Genomic DNA, 23,352 nt, shown 5'->3' on the forward strand with positions numbered 1-23,352 from the left:
GAGATATTAGACCTGGCTCCATAGCATTTGTTCTTGTCTCATAAGAGAATTGCCAAGGGGAACAGAACCGTAAGGAAGGATGATAATCCGTGTCTGGAAAACCACTCCAACTGCTGATCCAGGGTCATGGGAAACAGCTCAGAAAATCACACCCTTGCTTCTCCATCAACTTTTCACTCTATGAAGGGATTTAAATATTCTGGCTCTGAAAATGAATGCTTTTTCCTTCTTTAGCCAGAAAGTGTGAAGAACGGCATAATCAGAGTCCACAGGAGTAATTTAAAAATTGTCATGTCTAAATGAGTAAACTTTTCAACAAAGCAATAGCTTTATGAATTTGTTTCATTAGGAAGAAATAAAAAAGCAGATTCCACTCTAGAGCACAGAAAGTTTTGACAGTGGTTTTGCAATGCTTGATAATAATATTCTGAATTCTAAGGTAAGATGTGCTCTGCAAGTGCCCTGGGAAAAGCAAGCTGTTGCCAAGTAAAGCAGGTTTAGGTTGAGAAAAGGCTATGGGGTCTTCTGCACTAGTTCTCCTTCCATCAAATAAAGATGTGCACAGGAACAAGTGCATTTCACCATCACCACTGCTTTCACTACTAAAGAGGCAGCATGCCCTCTTTATGGTAGCCAAGAGCACAGACATTACAGTCACACAGACTGGGTTCAAATTCTAGCTCTGATATTTACTGTCAGAAAGACTTGGCCACATTGCTTAACCACTTTGTTTTCTTATCTGTAAGATATAGAATCTACATCAAAGCATTATTATAAAGGTTAATATAAAGATTAAATAAGTTAATACATGTAAAGTGCTTAAAGCAGAGTTTAAAATTTATGACAATTTTTGACTGGACATTTTTTGAATTTTAACTTATTGGCGATACTTCAAGCCATGTAAGACAGAAAGTTTCGGCCACGCACGGTGGCTCACCCTTGTAATCCCAGCACTTTGGAAGGCTGAGGCTGGTGGATCACCTGAGATCAGGAGTTCGAAACCACCCTGGCCAATGTGGTGAAACCCCGTCTCTACTAAAAATACAAAAATTAGCCGGGTATGGTAGTGGATGCCTGTAATCCCAGCTATTCAGGAGGCTGTGGCAGGAGAATCGCTTGAACCCAGGAGGCAGAGGTTGCAGTGAGCCGAGATGGTGCCATTGCACTCCAGCCTGGGCAACAGGAGCAAAACTCTGTCTCAAAAGAAAAAAAAAAAAAGACAGAAAGTTCCTTGCGTTGTAAGATGAAAAATAAAATCAGCAATGTACCTATTTTAATAGTTTCATATAGCCACTCTCATTTTCTCATTATGATTAATCTTGGTGGTGACAAATACCTGTTTATTCATTCACTTATTGTTTGTTCAGCAATTCATTAGTTGCTTAAAGTCTAGTATGTGCCAGTCATCATGTCATGGTTTGATGATCCAAAGGCATATCAAACACAAGACACATGAAGAAATTGTTATTAATTGTGACAATATAATGGAATGATTATTGAAATGGGGGTCATGGGAAGTCTTCAGAGGGGAAATGACATTTGATCTGGATTTTGAGCCATGAGTAGGAATTTGCAGATGTAAAAGGGAAGAAGGGCTTCTGTACAAAGAGGATCGTGTGCTACAAGATTCAGGGATAAGACTGGGCTTTACCCAGGACACAGAGAAACCTTTCATGTACTGGAAGGCAAAGCTTTGTGTTGAGAAGCATGCAGAAAACAAGGGGGTTGCAAAAGCAGGTTGGAACCTCATAGTGAAGAATTTAACCAGAAAGTATGGACTAGATTCTGTAGAAAAAGTAGAAGCAGGAGTCCTTCAAGTATGAAACACCTCCACTTCATAGACTGCATTAGTTTTCTATTAGTGCAAAACAAATTACCAAAGACTCAGCAGCTTAAAATAACACAAATTTATTATCTTACTATGTCAATGGGTCAGAAATACACCATAAATTTGTTGGATCCTTTGCTTCTGGGTGTCACAAGGCTCAAATCAATGTGTTAACTGAGTGCATCTTCACATAAGGCTCAAGTAGGGAAAGATCTACTTTCTCGTTCTCTAAGGCTGTTGGCAAAACTCATTTCTTGTGATGTGTGACTGATATTCTCTTGCTAGCTGTTGGCTAGAACCACTCCAAGCTCCTAGAGACCGTTCTTGGGTTCTTGCCATATGGTCCCCCCCACTCACATCATAGCAACTTACTTCAAGGACAGCAGTAGGATCTTTACCACTATTTGAGTCTTTTTCATCAAGGAACAGCTCAGTTCTTTTTAAAGCCTTACTTGCTTAGATCAGGCTGCTTAAGGACAATCTCTTTTTCTGTTTTTTTTTTTTTTCCTAAGTCAACTGATTTGGGGCCTTAATTATATACATAAAATTCTTTCAGCTTTATCAGGAAACATAACCTAAGGAAGTGACCATCCCATCATATTCATGGGTTCTGCCCACATCCAAGGTGAATGGAGGATACAGGGCATGTAAATCGGGGTAGGAAACGTAGGGGCCATCTTAGAATTCTGCCTACTACATAGACTTTCTGCTTTTGAGGGTTAATGGGCTGACTTTGATCTCCATAATGTCTTCCCGAAAGACTTATTTTAAGGGCTATAAAATAATCATCTTTTTGTTTCCTCAACCCTTTGCCACAGATTTTCATCATGTCAAATGGACTATGTGCTAGATTGATTTGATCTTGCAGTAAATCTTATTTTTTCAGGAGGGACTAGCTGTGACTAGGCCTGGGTATGTATTAACAAACTTATTTTCCAGTCATATCAGGCACAGATTGTTATGTATATTGGAAATGATTTGCTCGTTGAAAGCACATTTAAAAAAAAATACACAAAAACTTAAACAACTCTTAATATGCTCAGTGAAACAAATAGTTTTAAATTCCACCATTAGGAACATTTATCACTTGTGCATGAAGCAAACATATCATTGAATTTTCCCAAAGATTGAGAAACACTCAGTAAGATGTGTTTAAAGATTTATAAGCTGAAGCTGTTTAGAAAATAGCTCAACTCTCTGGCAGCATTTATTCTTGGCCTGATATAAGCCCAGGCATGGAATTTAAGGCAGGGACAATCTCCATTGTCCTGAAATCAATGAAAATGTTGTGGAGACAGTTTCACCCCAAAGGCAATGGAGCAAAAGGAAAATAATCAACTTCCTTCAGTTTCTCTCTGTGTCTTTCTTGTTGCTTTTGAAGGGATCTATGATGTGGGAGTAATTAAATGTTCCCAAAGAATACAAAAGAACAGACTAAGCCTTGGTGATGTGAGAGAACTTTAGTGAACAAGGCAGACAATTAAATACGTTGATGGGGCATTACGTAGCTTCTAATAACTAGCGCATAGGAAACAACATGAAAAAAAAGAGAGAGGAAAACAAGAGATCATCATTTGTGAATAACTTCCGAGAAGACAGAACAAATTCGGGATTACAAAAGTGTTCTATGGTTTGTCAGTCGGAGATGGGCCTGTTCTTTTCAATCAATCACCCCTTATCAAAATTCTTTCTATTCATTTTTCTTTAAGTGGGTTATAAAACTTTATGTTTTCTTCCTGGTTGTGTGTGCTTGAATTTCATATCAGGGAATCTGATTTGAAAGCATATAGAATGATCATACCTTTAACATGTCACTATCCTGTAGTGTTCTCCCCTTGCTGGACCAAGGGCCACAAGCAAGGGACAGACATGCTGTTAGTACCTCCATACCCCATGCTACTTTCTCATTTGTCCAAGCCAAGCAAGACATGTTTAACAAGCACATAGTATGCTATGATGCTAAACTCCTAATATTTCAGGATCAGAAATTCATGCTTTGTATCCAATCTTTGATAAATATTGATTGCTTAAATATACCAAATTAATAAATCTTTCTATTTTTTCTTTTCATTTTTTAATTTCAAAGCCCTTTGTTTTTAATAAAAAGATTTTAATTCTAATTTCTATCCCCCCCACACTCATATATATAACACATATACACATATATACACACACACATATATATATACACATGTATGTGTGTGTGTGTGTGTGTGTGTGTGTGTATGGCAGAAATTTGATGCAATTTATACTATATATATTTTTAACTTTTACTTTTATGTTCAGGTGTACATGTGCAGTTTTGTTATATAGGTACATTGCGTGTCACAGGGATTTGGTGTCAGATTATTTTATCACCCAGATAATAAACATAATATCTGATAGGCAGTTTCTCAATTCTCACCCTCCTCCCAACCTCCAACTTCAAGTAGGCCCCAGTGTTTGTTGCTTCCTCCTTCGTATCCATGGGTACCCAATGTTTAACTCCCACTTATAAAAGAGAACATGTATTATTTGGTTGTCTGTTCCTGCATTCGTTTGCTTAGGATAATGGCACTCAGCTTCTTCATAGTGCTGCAAAGGACATGATTTTGTTCTTTTTTATGGCTGTTTTAGTATTCCACAGTGTATATGAACCACATTTTCTTTATCTAGTCTACTGTGAAGACATGTAGATTGATTCCATGCCTTTGCTATTGTGAATAGTGCTGCAATGAACATATGCATGCATGTGTCTTTATGGTAAAACAATTTATATATTCCTTTGGGTATGATATAGTTTGGCTCTGTGTCCCCTCCAAATCTCATCTCAAATTATAATACCCATGTGTCAAGGGAAGGACTTGGTAGAAAGTGATTGGATCATGAAGGCTATTTATGTTTTTCTCATGATAGTGAGTGAGTTCTAAAGATATCTCTTGGTTTTAAAGTTTTTGGCAGTTCCTCCTTCTCTCTCTGTCTCTCCTGCCTCCTTGTGAAGAAGATGCCTGCTTCCCCTTCACCTTCTACCATGATTGTAAGATTCCTTAGGCCTCCCCAGCCATGGGGAACTGCGAGTCAATTAAACCTCTTTTGCTTATAAATTACTCAGTCTCAGGAAGTTCTTTATAGCAGTGTCAAAATGGACTAATACAGAAAATTGGTACCGAGAGTGGGATACTGCTATAAAGATACCTGGAAATGTGGAAGCGACTTTGGAGCTGGGTAATGGGCAGAGGTAAGAACAGTTAAGAGGGCTCAGAAGAAGACAGGAAGATGTGGGAAATGTTAACGGTAGAGGGTATCCAGGTTGTTGGCATCTTGAACAAAGAATTGGAACACCGCATGTTCTCACTCATAGGTGGGAACTGATCAGTGAGAACACTTGGACACAGGAAGGGGAGCATCACACACCGGGGCCTGTTGCGGGATGGGGGTAGGGGGGGAGGGAAAGCATTAGGAGACATACCTAATGTAAATGACAAGTTAATGGGTGCAGCACACCAACATGGCACATGTATACCTATGTAACAAACCTGCACATTGTGCACATGTACCCTAGAACTGAAAGTATAAAAAAAAATTGGACAAAACACAAAAACAAAGCAAGGAAGGAATGAAGGGTTTTATTGAAAATGAAAGTACACTCTGCAGTCTGGGAGCAGGCCTGAGCATAGGGGCTCAAAGGCCCCATTCCAGAATTTTTGAGAGTTTAAATACCCCCAGAGGATTCCATTAGTTGCTTTGGGTATGCCCTATGTAAATGGAGAGGATGAAGTGAAATTACAAAGTCATTTATGCCCTAACGGAGAGGATATTTCCTGTTATAGCTGAAGTGTGAATTGGCCTTATGTTCCCTGCCTCCAGACCCTATTTTCCTGCCTCAGGCAAGATTGGCACTTCCTAGAATCTTGTTGAATGCTTTTGACCAAAATGCTGATAGTGATATGGACAATGACATCCAGGATAAGATGGTTCAGATGGAGATGAGGAACTTATTGGGAACTGGAAGAAAGGTCACTCTTGTTATGCTTTAGGAAAGAGATTGGCGGCATTTTGCCCCTGCTGTAGAGATCTGTGGAACTTTGAACTTGAGAGAGGTGATTTAGGGTACCTTGGGGAAGAAATTTCCAAGCAGCAAAGCATTCAAGAGTTAACCTGGCTGAGGGATCGAGACCATCCTGTCCAATATGGTGAAACTCTGTCTCTACTAGAAATATAAAAATTAGCTGGGCGTAGTGGCATGTGCATGTAGCCCCAGCTGCTCAGGAGGCTGAGGCAGGAGACTTGATTTAACCTGGGAGGCAGAGGTTGCAGTGAGCCAAGATTGCACCACTGCACAACAGAGCAAGACTCAGTCTCAAGAAAAAAAAAAAAAAAAAAGAAGGTAACCAAACCTGGCTTTTTCTGACAGCGTAAACCTAATTTTCTGGGAATAAATTCAACCTAGCTACAGAAATTTGCATAACTAATGAGGAGCCAAATGTTAATAGCCAAGCTATGGGGAAAATGCCCCCAGGGCATTTCAGAGATCTTCACAGTAGCCCCTCTCATCACAGGCCTGGAGACCTAGGAGGGAAAAATAATTTTGTGTACTGAGCCCAGGGTCCCACTGCTCTGTGGAGCCTCAGGACATGGTGCCCTGCGTTCCAGTTGCTCCAGCTCCAGCCATGGCCAAAAGGGACCAAGCTACAGCTTGCACCATGACTTTAGAGGATGCAAGCCCCAAGCCTTGGTGCCTTCCACATGGTGTTGAGCCTGCAGGTGTGCAGAAGACAAGAGTTGAGCTTTGGGATTCTTCACCCGGATTTCAGAGGAGGTATGAAAACTCCTGGATGCCCAAGCAGAAGTCTGCTGCAGGGGCAGAGCCCCCATGGAGAACCTCCACTAGGACAATGTGGAGGGAAAATGTGGGGTTGGAGCCCTCACACAGAGTACCCACTGGGGCACTGCCTAGTTGAGCTGTGAGAAAAGGGCCACCACCCACAATGGTAGATCCATCAACAGCTTGCACTGTGCACCTAGGAAAGCTGCAGACACTCAATGCCAGCTCGTGAAAGCAGCTGCAGGGGCTGTATCCTGCTGAGCCACAGAGGCAGATCTGCCCAAGTCCTTGGGAGCCTATCTTTTACATAGGCATGCCCTGGATGTGCAACATGGAGTCAAAGGAAATTATTTTGAAATTTTAAGATTTAAAGATGTGCCCTGGTGGTTTTCAGACTTGCATGGGGCCTGTGGACCCTTTGTTGTGGCCAATTTCTCCCATTTAGAATGGGAACATTTACCTAATGCCTGTACCCCCATTGCATCTTGGAAGTAACTAACTTGTATTTGATTTTACAGGCTCATAGGCAGAAAGGCCTTGCCTTGTCTCTGATGAGACTTTGAACTTGAGCTTTTGAGTTAACGCTGGAATGAGTTAAGACTATGGAGGAACTATTAGGAGGGTATGATTGGTTTTGAAATGTGAAAAGGACATCAGAGGAGAGCAGGAGGGAGAAAAAAAAAGGACATGAGATTTGGGTGGGGCCAGGGTGGAATTATATGGTTTGGCTCTGTTTCCCCACGCAAATCTCATCGTGAATTGTAATCCGCATGTGTCCAGAAAGGGACCTAACAGGAGGTGATAGGATCATGGAAACAGTTTCCCCCATGCTGTTGTCATGATAGTGAGGGAGTTCTCATGAGATCTGATGGTTTAAACGTGGCTGTTTCCCCTGTACTCTCTCTGTCCTGCTGCCTTGTGAAGAAGGTGCTTGCTTCCCCCTTCACCTTTCACCATGACTATAAGTTTCCTGAGGCCTCCCCAGTCATGCAGAACTGTGAGTCAATGAAACCTCTTTCGTTTACAAATTACACAGTTTCAGGGAGTTTTATAGCATTGTGAAAATGGACTAATACAGGGTTTATATCCAGTAATGGAATTGCTGGGTAAAATGGTATATCTGTTTTAAGTTCTTTGAGAAATTGCCACACTGCTTTCCACAATGGCTGAACTAATTCACATTCCCACCTGCAGTGTGTAAGTGTTTCCTTTTCTCCACAACTCACCAGCATCTGTTATTTTTTGACTTTTAAAAAATAGCCATTCTGACTGGTGTGAGATGGTATGTCATTGTGGTTTTGAGTTGCATTTCACTAATGATTAATGATATTGAACATTTTTTCATATGCCTCTTGGCCGCATGTATGCCTTCTTTTGAAATGTGTCCCTTTATGTCCTTTGCCCACTTTTTAATGACATTGTTGTTTTTTGTTTTTTTTTTGCTTGTTAATTTAAGTTCCTTATAGATTCTGGATATTAGACCTTTGTCAAATGTATAGTTTGAAAATATTTTCTCCCATTTTACAGGTTTTTTGTTTACTCTGTTGATAGTGTCTGTTGTTTTGCAGAAGCTCTTTCATTTAATTAGGTCCCATTTGTCAATTTTTGTTGTTGTTTCAATTTCTTCCTGCATCTTCATCACGAAATGTTTGCCAGGGCCTATGTTCAGGATGGTATGCCCCAGGTTTGCTTCTAGGGTTTTTGTAGTTTTCGCTTTTACATTTAAATCTTTAATCCATCTTGAGTTAATTTTTGGATATGATGTAATGAAGGGGTCCAGTTCTAAACTTCTGCATATGGCCAACCAGTTATCTCAGCACCATTTTTTGGATAGAAAGTCCTTTCCCCATTGCTTATTCTTCTCAACTTTTCCAAAGATCAGATGGGTGTAGGTGTGCAGCTTCATTTCTGGGCTCTCTGCTCTGTTTCATTAGGCTATGTGTCTGTTTTTATGCCCTAATCAGATTGTTTTTATTATTGTAGCCTTGTATCATAGTTTGAAGTTTGGTAATGTAATGCCTCCAGCTTTATTCTTTTTGCTTAGGATTATCTTGGCTATTTGAGGTTTGTTGTTTTTCCATATAAACTGTAGAATAGTTTTTTTCTAATTCTGTGAAAAATGTCATTGGTAGTTGACAGGAATAGCACTGAATCTGTAAATTGCTTTCAGCAGTATGGCCATTTTTACAATATTGAATCTTTCTATCCAAAAGCATGGAATGTTTTCTATTTGTTTGTGTCACCTGTGATTCGTTTGAGCAGTGTCTGGTAATTCTTACTGTGGAGATCTTTCACCTCCCTGGTTAGCTATACTCCTGGGTATTTGATTCTTTTTGTGGCTATTGACAATACAATTGCATTCTTCATTTGGCTATCAGTTTGGACATTGTTGGTGAATATAAATGCTACTAATTTTTGTACATTGATTTTGTATTCTAAAACTTTTCTAAAGTTGTTTATCAGAACAGAGAGCTTTTGAGCAGAGGCTATGGGATTTTCTATATATAAATCATATAATCTGCAAACAGAGATATTTTGACTTCATCTCTTCCTATTTGGATGCCTTTTATTTTTTCTCTTGTCTGATTGTTCTGGCTAGGATTTCCAGTAATATATTGAATAGGAATGGAGAAAATAGGTATTCTTGTCTAATTCCAATTTTCAAGGGGAATACTTTCAGCTTTTGCCCATTCAATATGATGTTAGCTGTGGCTTTGTCATACATGGTTCTTATTATTTTGCAGTATGTTCCTTCAATGCCTAGTTTGTTAAGGGTTTTTGAAGATGAACGGATGTTGAATTTTATCAAAAGCCTTTTCTGCATCTATTGAGATAATCATGTAGCTCTTGTTTTTAGTTCTGTTTTTGCGATGAATGATATTTATTGATTTGTGTATGTTGAACCAACTTTACATCCCAGGGATAAAGCCTACTCGACTGTGGTGGATTTGGTTTGCTAGTATTTTGTTGAGGATTTTTGCATCAATGTTCATCAAAGATATTGGCATTAAGTTTTATTTTTTTGTTGTGTCTTTGCCAGGTTTTGGCATCAGAATGATGCTGGCCTCATAGAGTGTGTTAGGGAGGAGTCCCTCCTTCTCAGTGTTTTTGGAATAGCGTCAGTGGGAATGGTACCAACTCTTCTTTACACATCTGGTAGGAATAGGCTGTGAATCTCTGCTCCCAGGCTTTTTTTGGTTGGTAGACATTTTGTTACTGATTCAGTTTTTGAACTTGTTGTTTGTCGGTTGGGGATTTCAATTTCTTTCTGGTTCAATTTTGGGAGGTTGTATGTTTCCAGGAATTTATCCATTTATTGTAGACTTTCTTGTTTGTGAGCATAAAGGTGCTTTATAATAGTCTCAGAGGATTTTTTTTTTATTTTTGTGGAATCAGAAGTAACATTTTCCTTGTCATTTCTGTTTGTGTTTATTTGGATCTTCTCTTCTTTTTTCATGATAAAGAAAAAAATTATTAGCTACCAATAAACACATAGCTACCATGTGTTTACTGGTAGCTAGGAGTTAACCAATCTTATTCATTCTTTCAAGGAACAAGCTTCTGTATTTGTTTATCTTTTATGGTTTTTCACATGTCAATTTCATTCAGTTCAGCTCTGATTCTGATTATATCTTGTCTTCTGCTAGCATTGGGGTTGGTTTGCTCATGTTTTTCTAGATGCTCTAGGTGTGATTTTAGGTTGTTAATTTGAGATTTTTCTAACTTTTGATGTGAAATTTTAGCACTATGAACTTTCCTCTTAACACTGCTTTAGCTGTATCCCAGAGATTTTGGTATATTATATCTTTCATCTCAGTTTCTAAGAATTTCTTGATTTCTGCCTTAATTTCACTGGTTCCCCAAAAGTCATTCAGGAGCAGGTTGTTTAATTTCCATGTAATTGTATGGTTTTGAGTGATCTTCTTAGTATTGATTTCTATTCTTATTGCACTATTATCCAATAATGTGGTTGGTATAATTTCATTTCTTTTGAGTTTGCTGACAATTGTTTTATGGCCAATTGCATGGCTGATTTTAATATATGTGTCATGTGGCAGTGAGAAGAATGTACATTCTGTTGTGTTTGGGTGGAGATTCCTGTAGATATCTATTAGGTCTGTTTGCTCAAGTGTTGAGTTCACATCCTGAATATCTTTGTTAGTTTTCTGCCTTGATGATCTGTCTAATACTGCCAGTGGGTTGTTGAAGTCTCCCACTATTTTGTGTTATCTAAGTATCTTCGTAGGTCTCTAAGAAGATGTTTTATAAATCTGGGTGCTGCTATGTTGGGTACATGTACACTTAGGATAGTTAGGTCTTCTTGTTGAACTGAACTCTTTACCATTATGTAATGCCCTTCTGTGTCTTTTTTGATCATTGTTGGCTTGACATCTGTTTTGTCTAAAATTGGAATAGCATTACCTGCTTTTTAAAATTTCTTATTTGCTTGGTAGATTTTTCTCCATCCTTTTATTTTGGCCTATGGGTGTTGTTGCATGTGAGATGGGCTATTGAAGATAAGAGACCCATCTTTTGGGACTTGCTTCTTTATCCAACTTTCCACTCTGTGCCTTTTAATTGGGGCATTTAGCCTATTATTTATATAATCCTGTCCCCGCGTTGCTAACTGGTTATTGTGCAAACTTGATTTTGTAGTTGATTTATAGTGTCGATGGCATAGTACTTAAGTGTGTTTTTGTGATGGCTAGTAATGGCCTTACCTATCCATATTTAGGACTCCTTTTAGAACCTCTTTTAGGGCAGGTCTGGTGGAAACAAATTTCCTTAGCATTTGCTTCTCTGAAAAGGATTCTATTTCTCCTTCATTTAGGAAGCTTAGTTTGGCTGGATATGAAATTCTTGGTTGGAATTCCTTTTTTTTTTTTTTTTAAGAATGCTGAATACAGCCCCCAATATCTTTGAGCTTCTATGGTTTCAACTAAAAGCTCTATTTTTAGCCTGATTGCATCCCTTTTTAAATGACCTGACCTTTATCTTCAGCTGCCTTTAATATTTTTTCTCTCATTTTGACCTAGGAGAATCTGATAACTATGTGTCATGGGAATGGCCATCTTGAATGGTATCTTGCAGGGGTTCTGTGCATGTTCTGAATTAGAATGTTGGCCTCTCTAGCAAGGTTGGGGTTATGATCACGGATGATATCCTCAAATACATTTTCCAGGTTGCTTGCTTTTCCTCCCTCTCTTTTAGGAACACCAATTAGTCATAAATTTGGTTCCTACGTAATCCCGTATTTTATGGAGGTTTTGTTCATTCTTTTTTTAATTCTCTTTTTTATTTTTGTCTGACTGAGTTAATTCAGAGAGCCCTGGAGATTAGAGTCTTAGAGCTCTGAGATTCTTTCCTCGGCTTATTATATTCTACTCTTAATACTTGTGATTGTATTTCAAAATTCTTGTAGTGAGTTTCTCAGCTCTATCAGATCAGTTTAGTTCTTTCTTAAAATGGGCATTTTGTCTTTTAGCCTTTGTATCGCTTTATTGTATTCCTTAGTTTTCTTGGATTGGGTTTTGACTTTTTCCTGAATCTCAATGATCTTCATTTATATCCATACTCTGAGTTTTATGTCTGTCATTTCAGCCTGGTTATGAACCATTGCTAGGAAACTAGTGTGGTGATTTGGAGGTAAGTGCACTCTGGCTTCTTCAGTTACTGGAGTTCTTGCAATGATCCTTTCTCATTTGTGTTGGCTGATATTCCTTCAGTCTTTGAAGTTGCTGTCCTTTGGATGGGTTTTTTTTTCTTCTTTGATGCCCTTGGGATTTCGATTGTGATAAATGGTGGGTTCAGTCAACTGTCTCCATTTGAGGAAGATGTGTGCTCTAACTCTCAGGGGCTTGTATTGTGCCCTAGCTTTATTCTCCGGACCTTCAAGGTTAGAAATTCACTGCTCTGGAGGGTCCAAAGTGTTCCTGATCTGCTGGCCACAACACTATGATAAGACACGCTTGCCAAAGTGTTTTGTCAGGGTAGTGTCAGTGGAACCCATGTTTTCTCACACATACTAGCCACTGCATCAGTGTGGTGGGGTGCACACGTGTTTGCTGTGGCAGGGTACCAGTTGGAGTAGGGTGGTGGCTTTCCTATGTGCACTTACACTGGTGGCCACAGTGGTGTTGCAGGCGCAGGGCACTGGTGGGGTTGGGATGGTCAGTGACAGTGCACACTATCACATACAGCAAAAATTTCTAAGTGCCAGTTCTGATCTATAATGCCTTATGTCCTATAGTTATTAAAGAGTTAGATAATATAATACACCCCAAATAACTAGCACTCATTAGTAATAATGTTTAGTACTATTCCTATCATATTATTATTATGATTCTTTGCCCTCAGTTGGAAGAAGGAACTCCTCCCTTCAATCATTTGCTATGAAATTATCTTAATGACTTTCTATTTTATATGCTGGCATTTCACCTCCACAGTGTCAATAAAAACCACAAGTGTCAGAAAGAAAAGGTTAAATGTAAAATCATCCTCTATGGCAGGGCCATGAAGGTGGACAAACAGATTAACTCATCTATCCTTTCATTATTTTTAAAGAAAAAAATTATTGAGCAAAATATATCTGAAGTGTTACAAAACTGTTACTTAAGTACCTTATAATTTTTTACTTCATCTGAACAATTAAAATTCATAAATAAAATTATTAGTAAATAGACCTTGGCATTTCCCAGGGAACATTTTCCATGTTTCAGGAAGGAGAGTATTTCCAATAAAGAATGGTAGGTCAGTGCCAAGGAAGGGTTATCAGAATAAACACAGAAGTACAGGCAAGGGTGGACAGGAGTGAGCACTGCTCTGGGATCCTGTGTTAGGAGGGTTACTATAGGCACAAGTTACAGAATAAAGAATATTGGCATCTATTGCTCAGGGCACACTTGGGCTGACTTTAAAATTCCTGGAGTTCTTCCTATTTGTTTACTGTGGGGTATCCAGCATGGACCAGTAGTCCTCCCTCTTTGAAGAATGCCTTTGCTTTATGTCCCAGTTCCATCTTTGCCCTCTGTTCAGAAAGCTCTCTGGTCTCTCTCAGGCTCAGTAACTGCAAAGGTTTCCATATTCTTCTGCCAAGGCAGTCCATTTCTGAGGTCCGAAGTTTCTCTATTCAGAGTGGATGGACATTTTTGGTGGAGAGACATCCTTGCACCATGCTGCCTCTGAGACCTTGGCCTTGGCAACCAAGATAATTGAGCTAAGGGAGCAGCCTAGCCTTCAGTGACATAACAATGACAGGGAAGTAGATTAGATGACTGTTACTTGTTTTATCTTTTAAAGTTAAAAAAAAACATAGTTTACCTGCTAATTTTATATCAACTGTGATGAGTGTGCATTTCATTTTGTCTTTTTCTTTTAAAAAAATGATGTGGTTTGGAAACATGTAATTTATGTGAGACTGAATTTCTACATTCTACTTACAGTTTATATTTTAGTATAAGGTAAAGGTAACACACTAAACTTTTATTCCTGAATTTATTAACTCTAGGGCTTAATAAGCTAATATTTTAATAACATTATTGATGTCTTATATCTAATTAATACCTTTAACTTTTGAAAAAAAAATCACTCCAGTATGGGCAACAAGTGACACTCTATCTCTACAAAAAAAAAAAAAAAAAAAGAAAGTTTAAAAAATTAAGTGGGCATGTTGGTGCATGTCTGGAGTCTTAGCTACTCAGAAGGCTAATGTGAGCGGATTGCTTAATTTTAGGAGTTCTAGGCTGCAGTCAGCTATGATCAGACCACCGCACTCCAGCCTGAGTGGCAAGAGTGAGTCCTTGTCTCCAAAAATAAAAAAGAAAAAAAAAGAAAAAAGAAAGATTGAAGGAAGGAAGAAAAAATAGGAAAGAAAAAAATAAAGAAAGAAAGAGGAAGAAATCATTTACATTGCCATTACCTAATGGATTATTTTCTGGTACTTGTATGAGTTAGCAAAATACATGAGCATCACATACCATGCTCAACTACTGTACGAAATTTTGTTTAATTCATCACCAAGACACCTGCAACAGCCTCCTAACTGGTTTTTCTATCTACAGTCTTGTTTGAAGCCCAGAAATAAGAGGTTGCCACAAGATTCAAAAATTGCTTAAAAGTTTCTTTTTTGTCCTTTTGGCACCACTCACGGGTATTTTGGAATGCTGAGTGTCCAAATATTCCTATTTTTGTCTGAATTCAAGTAAATCTATAGACAAGAAAAAAGTTTTCAAAAAAGAAAAAAGAAAGCATAATAAAGACAAGAATAAGGCATAAAATATAGTTTAAAAGAAATTTATGTTAGTGGCTAAAATATTTGACACTGAAAATATATGGAGAATTCTCAAGATATTTTTAGAAATCTAATTTTTGGAAATCAGAAAATAATTTTTGGTTATCTCTTTGGAGGGCTCAAATCCAGCCCTGGGAAAGGCAGGTGAGTGAATTGAGTTACAACTGAAGCAAGTGCCATACCTTACTCTTCTCGGTTAGCTATGTATATTTTCTGTGTGATAAACACTGGAGGCAACAGTATTTCAGGAGAAAAAAATGAAGCCAAAAGCTTACTTTCAAATATAGCTATGTTTCCTGAATAACTTGTCAAAAATCTTAAATTTGCTAAAGGCAGTGTCATGTCTAAGAGAATATGAAATGTTTCTCATTTGTATTAGGCCGTTCTAACATTTTTATAAAGAAATACCTGAGACTGGATAATTTATAAAGAAAATAGGTTTAATTCACTCACAGTTCTATAGGCTTCACAGGAATCATGATGCTGGCATCCATTCAGCTTCTGGGGAAGCATCAGGAAGCTTATAATCATGGTGGAAGGAAAGGCAGAAGCAGGCAGTTCACATGGTGAAAACAGGAGCAAGAAAGGAAGAAGGGTAGGTGCCACACAATTTTAAACAGCCATATCTCATGAGAACTCACTAACTATTGTGAAGACAGTGCCAAGCTATGAGGGATCTGCCTCCATGACCCAAACACTTCCTACCAGGCCCCACTTCCAACATTAGGGATTATATTTAAATATAAGATGTAAGCAGGGACAAATATACAAACAATATCATTGCAACCCTGACCCCCCTCCAAATATTATGTCCTTCTCACATTGCAAAATGCAACCATGTCTTCCCAATAGTCCCTCAATGCCTTAACTCATTTCAGCATTAACTTTAAACTCCAAAGTCTCATCTGAGACAAGGCAAGTTCCTTCCATCTGTTAGCCTGTAAAATCAAAGGCAAGTTATTTACTTTCAAGATACAATGGAGGTATAGGCATTGAGTAAACATTGCCATTCCAAAAGGGAGAAATCAGCCAAAAGAAAGGGGCTACAAGCTCCACACAAGTTTGAAACATATCACTGTGGTATTAAATCTTAAGGCTCAAAAATAATCTCTTTTGCCTCATTATCCTCCATATCCAGGGCACACTGGTGCAAGGGGTGGGCTCCCAAAGTCTTGGGCATTTCAGCCCCATGGCTTTGCAGGGTACAGCCCAGAGCTTCTGTCATGGGCTGGAGTTGAGTACTTGTGGCTTTTCTAGGTACAGGGTGCAAACTCTTGCTAGATCTACTATTCTCAGGTTTTGAGGATGGTGGCACCCTTCTCACAGCTCCACTAGGTCATGCCTCACTGGGGACTTTATGTGGGGTTCCAACCCCACTTTTACCCTTTGCATTGCCCTAGTACAGGTTCTCCATGAGGGCTCCACTCCTGCAGGAGACTTCTGCCTGAGTACTCAGGCTTTTTCATACACCTTTTGAAACTCAGGCATAGACTTCCAAGCATTTATCACTCTTGCATTCTGTGCACCTACAGGCTTAACACCACATGGAAACTGTCAAGGCTTATGGCTTGCATTCTCCAAATTGGCAGCTCAGGCTCTACCAGAACCTCTTTGAGCCCTGGCTGAAGATGGAGCTGGAGCTGAAAACTGTCAGGATGCGAGGAGCAGTGTCCCAAGACTGCACAGGGAAGTTGAGGCCTGGATCTGGCTCATGAAACCATTCTTCCCTCCTTGGCCTCTGGGCCTGTTGTAGAAGGGGCTGACATAAAGGTCTCTAAAATGGCTTTGAGGTCTTTTCCTCATCTTCTTGGATATTAGCACTTGGCTCCCTTTTAGTTATGCAAATATTTCTAGCAAGTGTTTGCTCCACAGCCTGCTTGAATTCCTTGCTTGAAAAAGCTTTTGCTTTCTCTGCCATATGGCCATCCTGCACATTATCCACAAACTTTTATGCTCTGCTTCCTCTTCAAATATGGGTTTTCACTTTAAGTCTTTTCTTCACTCCTACATCTGAATATAGGTTGTTAGAAGCAGCCAGGTCACTTCTTGAATGTTTTGCTGCTTAGAAATTTCTATTTCACCAGATACCCTAAATACTCTCAAATTCAAACTTCCACAGATCTTGCGGGCATGAATAGAATTCAGCCAAGCTCTTTGCTAAGACATAACACTTGTGACCTTTGCTCCATGATATGGTTTGGCTGTGTCCCCACCCAAATCTCATCTTGAATTGTGATCCCAATAATCCCCAAGTGTCCAGGGAGGACCTGGTGGCAGGTTATTGGGTCATGGCGGCAGGTTCCTCCATGTGGTTCTTGTGATAGTGAGTGAGTTCTCATGAGATCTGATGATTTGGTAAGGCAGTTTTCCCTGCTATTACATGTTCTCTCTTGTCTGCCGCTATGTAAGACTGGCCTGCTTCCCCTTCTGCCATGACTGTAAGTTTCCTGAGGCCTCTCAAGCAATGCAGCACTGTGAGTCGATTAAACCTCTTTTCTTTAAAAATTACCTAGTCTCTGGTATGTCTGGCAGTGTGAAAATGGACTAATACACTCCAGTTCCCAAGAAGTTTCTCATTTCCATCTGAGACTTTGGCAGCCTGGACTTCACTGTCCATATCATTATCAGCATTTTGGTCACAGCCATGTAATCAGTCTCTAAGAAGTTCCAAATCTTATCTTCCTGACTCCTTCTGAGCCCTCCAAACCCTGCCTGTCACAGAGTTCCAAAGTTGCTTCCACATTTTCAGGTATCTTTATAGTAATACACCACCCCTGGTACCAATTTTCTGTATTAGGCTGTTCTTGCCTTGCTATAAAGAAATACACCAGGCCGGGCGTGGTGGCTCACGCCTGTAATCCCAGGACTTTGGGAGGCCGAGGCGGGTGGATCATGAGGTCAGGAGATCGAGACCATCCTGGCTAACAAGGTGAAACCCCGTCTCTACTAAAAATACAAAAAATTAGCCGGGCGCGGTGGCGGGCGCCTGTAGTCCCAGCTACTCGGGAGGCTGAGGCAGGAGAATGGCGTGAACCCAGGAAGCGGAGCTTGCAGTGAGCCGAGATTGCGCCACTGCAGTCCGCAGTCCGGCCTGGGCGACAGAGCGAGACTCTGTCTCAAAAAAAAAAAAAAAAAAAAAAAAGAAATACACCAGATTAGATAATTGGTTAAGAAAAGAGGTTTAATTGCTCACAGTTCTACAGGTATTACAAGCAGCATGATGCTCAAGAAGCTTATAATCATAGCAGAAAGTAAAGCACGAGCAGGCATTTCACATGGCAAAACCAGGAGCAAGAGAGAGAGATAGACTGGGGTGAGGAGGTGCTACACACTTTTAAATGACCAGATCTTGCAATAACTCACTCACTATCTTGAAGACAGCACCAAACTATGAGGGATCCACCCTCATGACCAAAGCACCACCCACCAGGCTCCATCTCCAACACTGGGCAATATTGGGAATTATATTTCAACATGAGATTTGGGCAGGGACAGATATACAGACAGTATCACCATTTAATTGTGAACTTGTCATTGGTCAGGCTTGAGTTTCCATTGACTTTACTTTGAAATCACCTTCACTTCTCTTATTCCTTGAAATGGAGTCCCACAAATTTTCTTCCTATGATATCAAGGAAGTTTGTCTGCTAAGAGGTTGGCAGAGTTGGAGCTCTGGAATGCAGAACTGGAGGTGAATGCCCTCTTGCCTCTGGCAGGACTCAAGAAGTACCTGCGGTTTCCCACTCTACCCCTTTTTTCAATCTCTTTGCTGCTTATAAACCAGGCTTCAAACCTATGGAAGTAGTGATTGACTTTTTAGGGCCCATCATGTTTTTCCTGACACAAGAATTTACCTACCATAAAATATTTTTTTTTCCTGTGAAAAGTCAATGACTTGTAATTTGGTTAGCAAACAGAAACTATCCATTTAATAAATGCAATGTTTTTTTGCATGTGTCTTGCACAAAATTTCTTAACCACACATCAACATCCTTTTACATAAAACCAGGTATCCCATGCTTAAGAAAATTACTCTGAATCCAAAAACTACTAATTATTGGGTCAGTCTTTATTCAAGTAAATATAATAAATTAATCAATTTATTTGTTCATGTAGTCAAAAAAAATCTGAGTACTAAAGATGTGCCAGACACTGACAGCTGACTGGGAAGCTCATGGCATTCAGGGACATATAGAGAGGTTAATAAATAATTATAGTATCTTGTGAAGTTATACGAAAGAGGCATCTACAGTGTTGCAAACAAGAGTGAGGAATTCACTCTACTTGAAGATATATGTCCCCATCCTCTCAACAAAAAGCAGATGAACAATGTTTTGAACACTTCTAAATATTCATTTGTTGGATAAGGCTAGGAGACATAGTCCACTGGGGAGAAAAGACTAAAAAAGATGATATAAAATAGCCTGGCAATTTTATACTCTTAAAATAGATTAATATAACAGAAGTATTATATGCTTATTGTAGATTTGTGGTTAAAAGTTATAAAAATCTGACTTAAGTGGTATTTAAAAAAAAAAAAAAGAAAAAAATTTGCTCAAGAGCCTGGGAGTAAATCCTTCAGGTGTGACTAATCTAGATCCATTTAAAAATTAACATAGGGGATCTAAAATTACATATTTTAATTTATTGAATATATTTACTTCTGTGATATTACATACATGTCTTGATAATGTCTTATGCAACTAATCCACTTTCTGCATTATTTTTCTAACTTAAATTTATCTTATATTAATTTTAAATAATCATAATAATATATGTGACATACACATAGTCAGATGTATACATGTTTTGCTTATACTCTCAGATGCAGATAACTGAATTCACTGAGAATATTGACCATGTAAAGCATTTACTTGCATAAGGGCTGAGTTCAATGTTAGCTGTAATGCTTAAATAATGATTGGAATTCATTATTTTTCAACTGTTAAGACATTAAATTATTTGAAGTTTCATTATGCATCATCATGCCTGTCACCATTCTTGCTTAATGAATAATGTTTTTATCTGCTGATCTCACAACCAATACATAACAAATCAAACAGAGGAACACTTCTTTAAATGATTTTGCCTCAGAAAATTCACCAGGCTCAATTTTATATTTGGTTAGAATAAAACATTCATTCCTTTCTAAAAATTTCTTGGTGTAGAAAATAGCTGACTTCTATTATAGCTTAGCTTAAATTTCTCAGCCAAAAAAAAAAAAAAAAAAAAAAAGACAAGAAACAAGGAAATAATTCCTTTAGCTGCAAGTAATTTTGGTCATGTCTACACAAATCCAAATTAACCAATTGGAAAGGTAAAAATTCAGTCATGTTGTTTTGTCCTTAGCATGGCAACAACATACACTTTTTAACCTAAAATAATTATATATTTAGTTTTGCTTTGATGTCTAAAGTTTCTTATTCATGTTATGTGAGATCTACAAAGAATAACAATAAATGGTTCAAAATCTGTATAATGCTCAGAGACTGATTTTTATGAACTTTTATTTTATATTTATCATGCTGTGACTCAAATACTACACACTATGTTAATTTTTTTCAGGGGTCCAATTGCTAGTTTCCTGTTTTTATTAATAAGTCTGATGATATATGTACACATCAAAATGCATTTTACTTTTTAATCTACATCTTCAGAGAAGAATTCATATTCTGCCACCTTCTTTCTTAGAAGAGAACAAACCTGGGCCAAGTGACACATTATATTGCTCTTCAACTAGAGCCAAGTTTCTGTCTTTAATACATTTTCTGTGACATGTAATTTATATTTTAAAGTATTCTAGATTTTTTCCTATAGAAACCAACTGCCAGTTGCTTCCAGCCTCTATTTTTTAATTCATCCAAAATTCATAGAGTAAAAAATGTTTTTTTCTGCTATAGGTTTCATTTAAAAGAAATTATAAATAAGGTTAGGGAATGAAATTCCATTCCCTTGCATGAACACTACAATGCAATGTGTAAATAAGTAACTTTTAAAGATAATCAAATCTAGAAGCTTAGAATTGAAATTGAAGGATATTTAGTCCAACCTCTTACACAATTCAAGAATCCTTTCTACAACATCCCTGGCAAACAATCGTATTATAATTTCCCAATTAAGACCTTAAAAAGCTGTTTCATATACAAAATGAGTTTGGTCCCACAACTTTCAATGTGTCATTAACAGACTATTATGGTTGTCAAACATTGTATATTGAGGAATGCATGGTGGACAAAGGAAGGGAGGGGAAAAAAGAACTGAAACTGAAACTCCTGTCCTGACTCCCCTCCATGTTCTCCATAGACTAGCCAACTGATACTCTTGAATGATCCAGAACAAATCCACAATGCCCCATCCAGTCTGCCTAGAGAAGGCAGAATCTTGGTCCAAGGAACAGAACAAGGGCATGTCTTGGCCATTAGTTAACCCTTCTCTTGGAAAAAAAAATTAGATTACTTAAAATATATGTGTAGAATTACAAGTAGGTCTCACATTTTCCTAGAAAACAGTCTCAATGGACAGCACACTCATAAAGAAATTCCTTCTCTGGATATTGTTTTGGTACCATCTAAAGTTTTCAAGCTGTCTTTGAGCAAAGCTCTTCAACAATTCCATTTTATTGCCTAAGGCAAGGGGAGTTCCTATATATTTTGTATCCACTCTCTTACCTATCAATTTAATTCAGTTTTTTTACATTATATTATGTGATACAATTTAAAATTTTAATCTGATGATTCTTACTCTGTTCATGTCTCCTAGCACATCTTTTCATTTCCATTTATGTGTGTGCAAAAAATTTATGAATCCAAGAAATGTTATGAAGTGTCTGTTTTGAGTATTTTGTGTAAGGTAATGGAAGTACAATCTAATAAAACTTAAATTTAATATCAGTTGATACAAAATATTTTGGAAGAAAAAAATCTACTATCCAAAAATAACACAATTCACTTCAAAGTTTAAAAGTATGCTACATTTGTCATAGTTTTGTGTGCATTCATTCATTCAATCATTCTACAAATATTTATTGTGTACCCAATATGTTTTAAACAGTTTTAGGTTATGTTGATACAGGTGTGAACAAAAGAGATGAAACTCAGACTTACATTATTGTTTTGAGAGAGACCGACAAGCAAGTCAAATTTTAAAATGTATACTATGTTAGATGGTGATGCCTGCTAAGTAAGGAAATAAAGTAGAGAGATAGGATAGGGGACTTGTGGAGATGAAATTTTAAATAGAACATCCAGGGAAGGTGACATTGAAAGTGTGGCACTTCAGTAAAGACCTGAACAAGATGAGAAAGGAAGCCATGTGAATACCCAGGAGCAGAGTATTCCAGACAAAGGAAGAAGCAAATGTGTCTGCTTTTGCAGAAGCATACGTAGAGTATCCGAGGAAAATCCAGGAGGTCAGTGTAAGCTACTGAGCTGAGAGAGAGGTTAAGAAGGCCAGGGTAGCCTAATTTTAGGATCTTTCAGTCATAATAAGAACTTTTTCTATTACACTAAGAAAGATGGAAAGCCATTAGTAAGTTCTGAATGGAGAAGCAACATAGTTTTCCTCTTACTTTAACAAGATCTCTTGCATTTTGGAAAATAAGGGCACAAGAACAGGAGCAGAAAGACCATTTTGGAGGTTATCATGTGATGATCCAGCTAAAAGATAATGACTGCTGGGGATCCTATAAATAGCACTGGATGTGTTTAGAAGAGAAAATCTAATCGAATTTGCTGATGAAGTGAATGTGAAATACGAGAGTATAAAATTTGACTCCAAGCTTTTTTGGCTTTATCAACTGGAAGGATGGAGTGGCCATTAATTGAGACTGGGAAAACTATAGAGGGGCAAGTTCAGACATTAAAGGTTGAGTTTCCCATTAGAAGCCCAGAGAGATTTAGATGAGGCAATAGATTATATAAGTCTGGCATTTAAGGGAGAGTTTCAGACATGATTAATACATTTGGGCATCACTGGTATATAGAAAGGGTTTAAATAAATGAACTAGATGAACTCATAAAAGCAAAAGGTATAGAGAGAAGAGAAGAGGTTCAAGGGCTGAGTCTGGGTCATTCCACTCTTTAGTGGTCAGAGAAAGGAGGAGAAGCTAGCAAAAGAAACTAGGTATTAGTAAAACTCCTATAAGCTAAAAGACAAGTTTCTTAGGGCCTAAAGCAAGCTTGTCCAACCCACAGCCTGTGGGCCGCATGCAGCGCAGGACGGCTTTGAATGCAGCACTAGACAAATTTGTAAACTTTCTTAAAACATCATGGGAATTTCTGTGATTGTTTTTTAGCTCATCAGCTATTGTTAGTGTATTTTACCTATGGCCCAAGATAATTATTCTTCTTCCAGTGAGGCCCAGGGAAGCAAAAAGATTGGACACCCCTGGTGTAAAAGATCAGCTGTGTTGAAAGCCGCGGGTAGGTCAAT

Source organism: Homo sapiens, chromosome 7 (assembly GCF_000001405.40).
Source record: "Homo sapiens chromosome 7, GRCh38.p14 Primary Assembly".
NCBI classification, from domain to species: domain Eukaryota; kingdom Metazoa; phylum Chordata; class Mammalia; order Primates; family Hominidae; genus Homo; species Homo sapiens.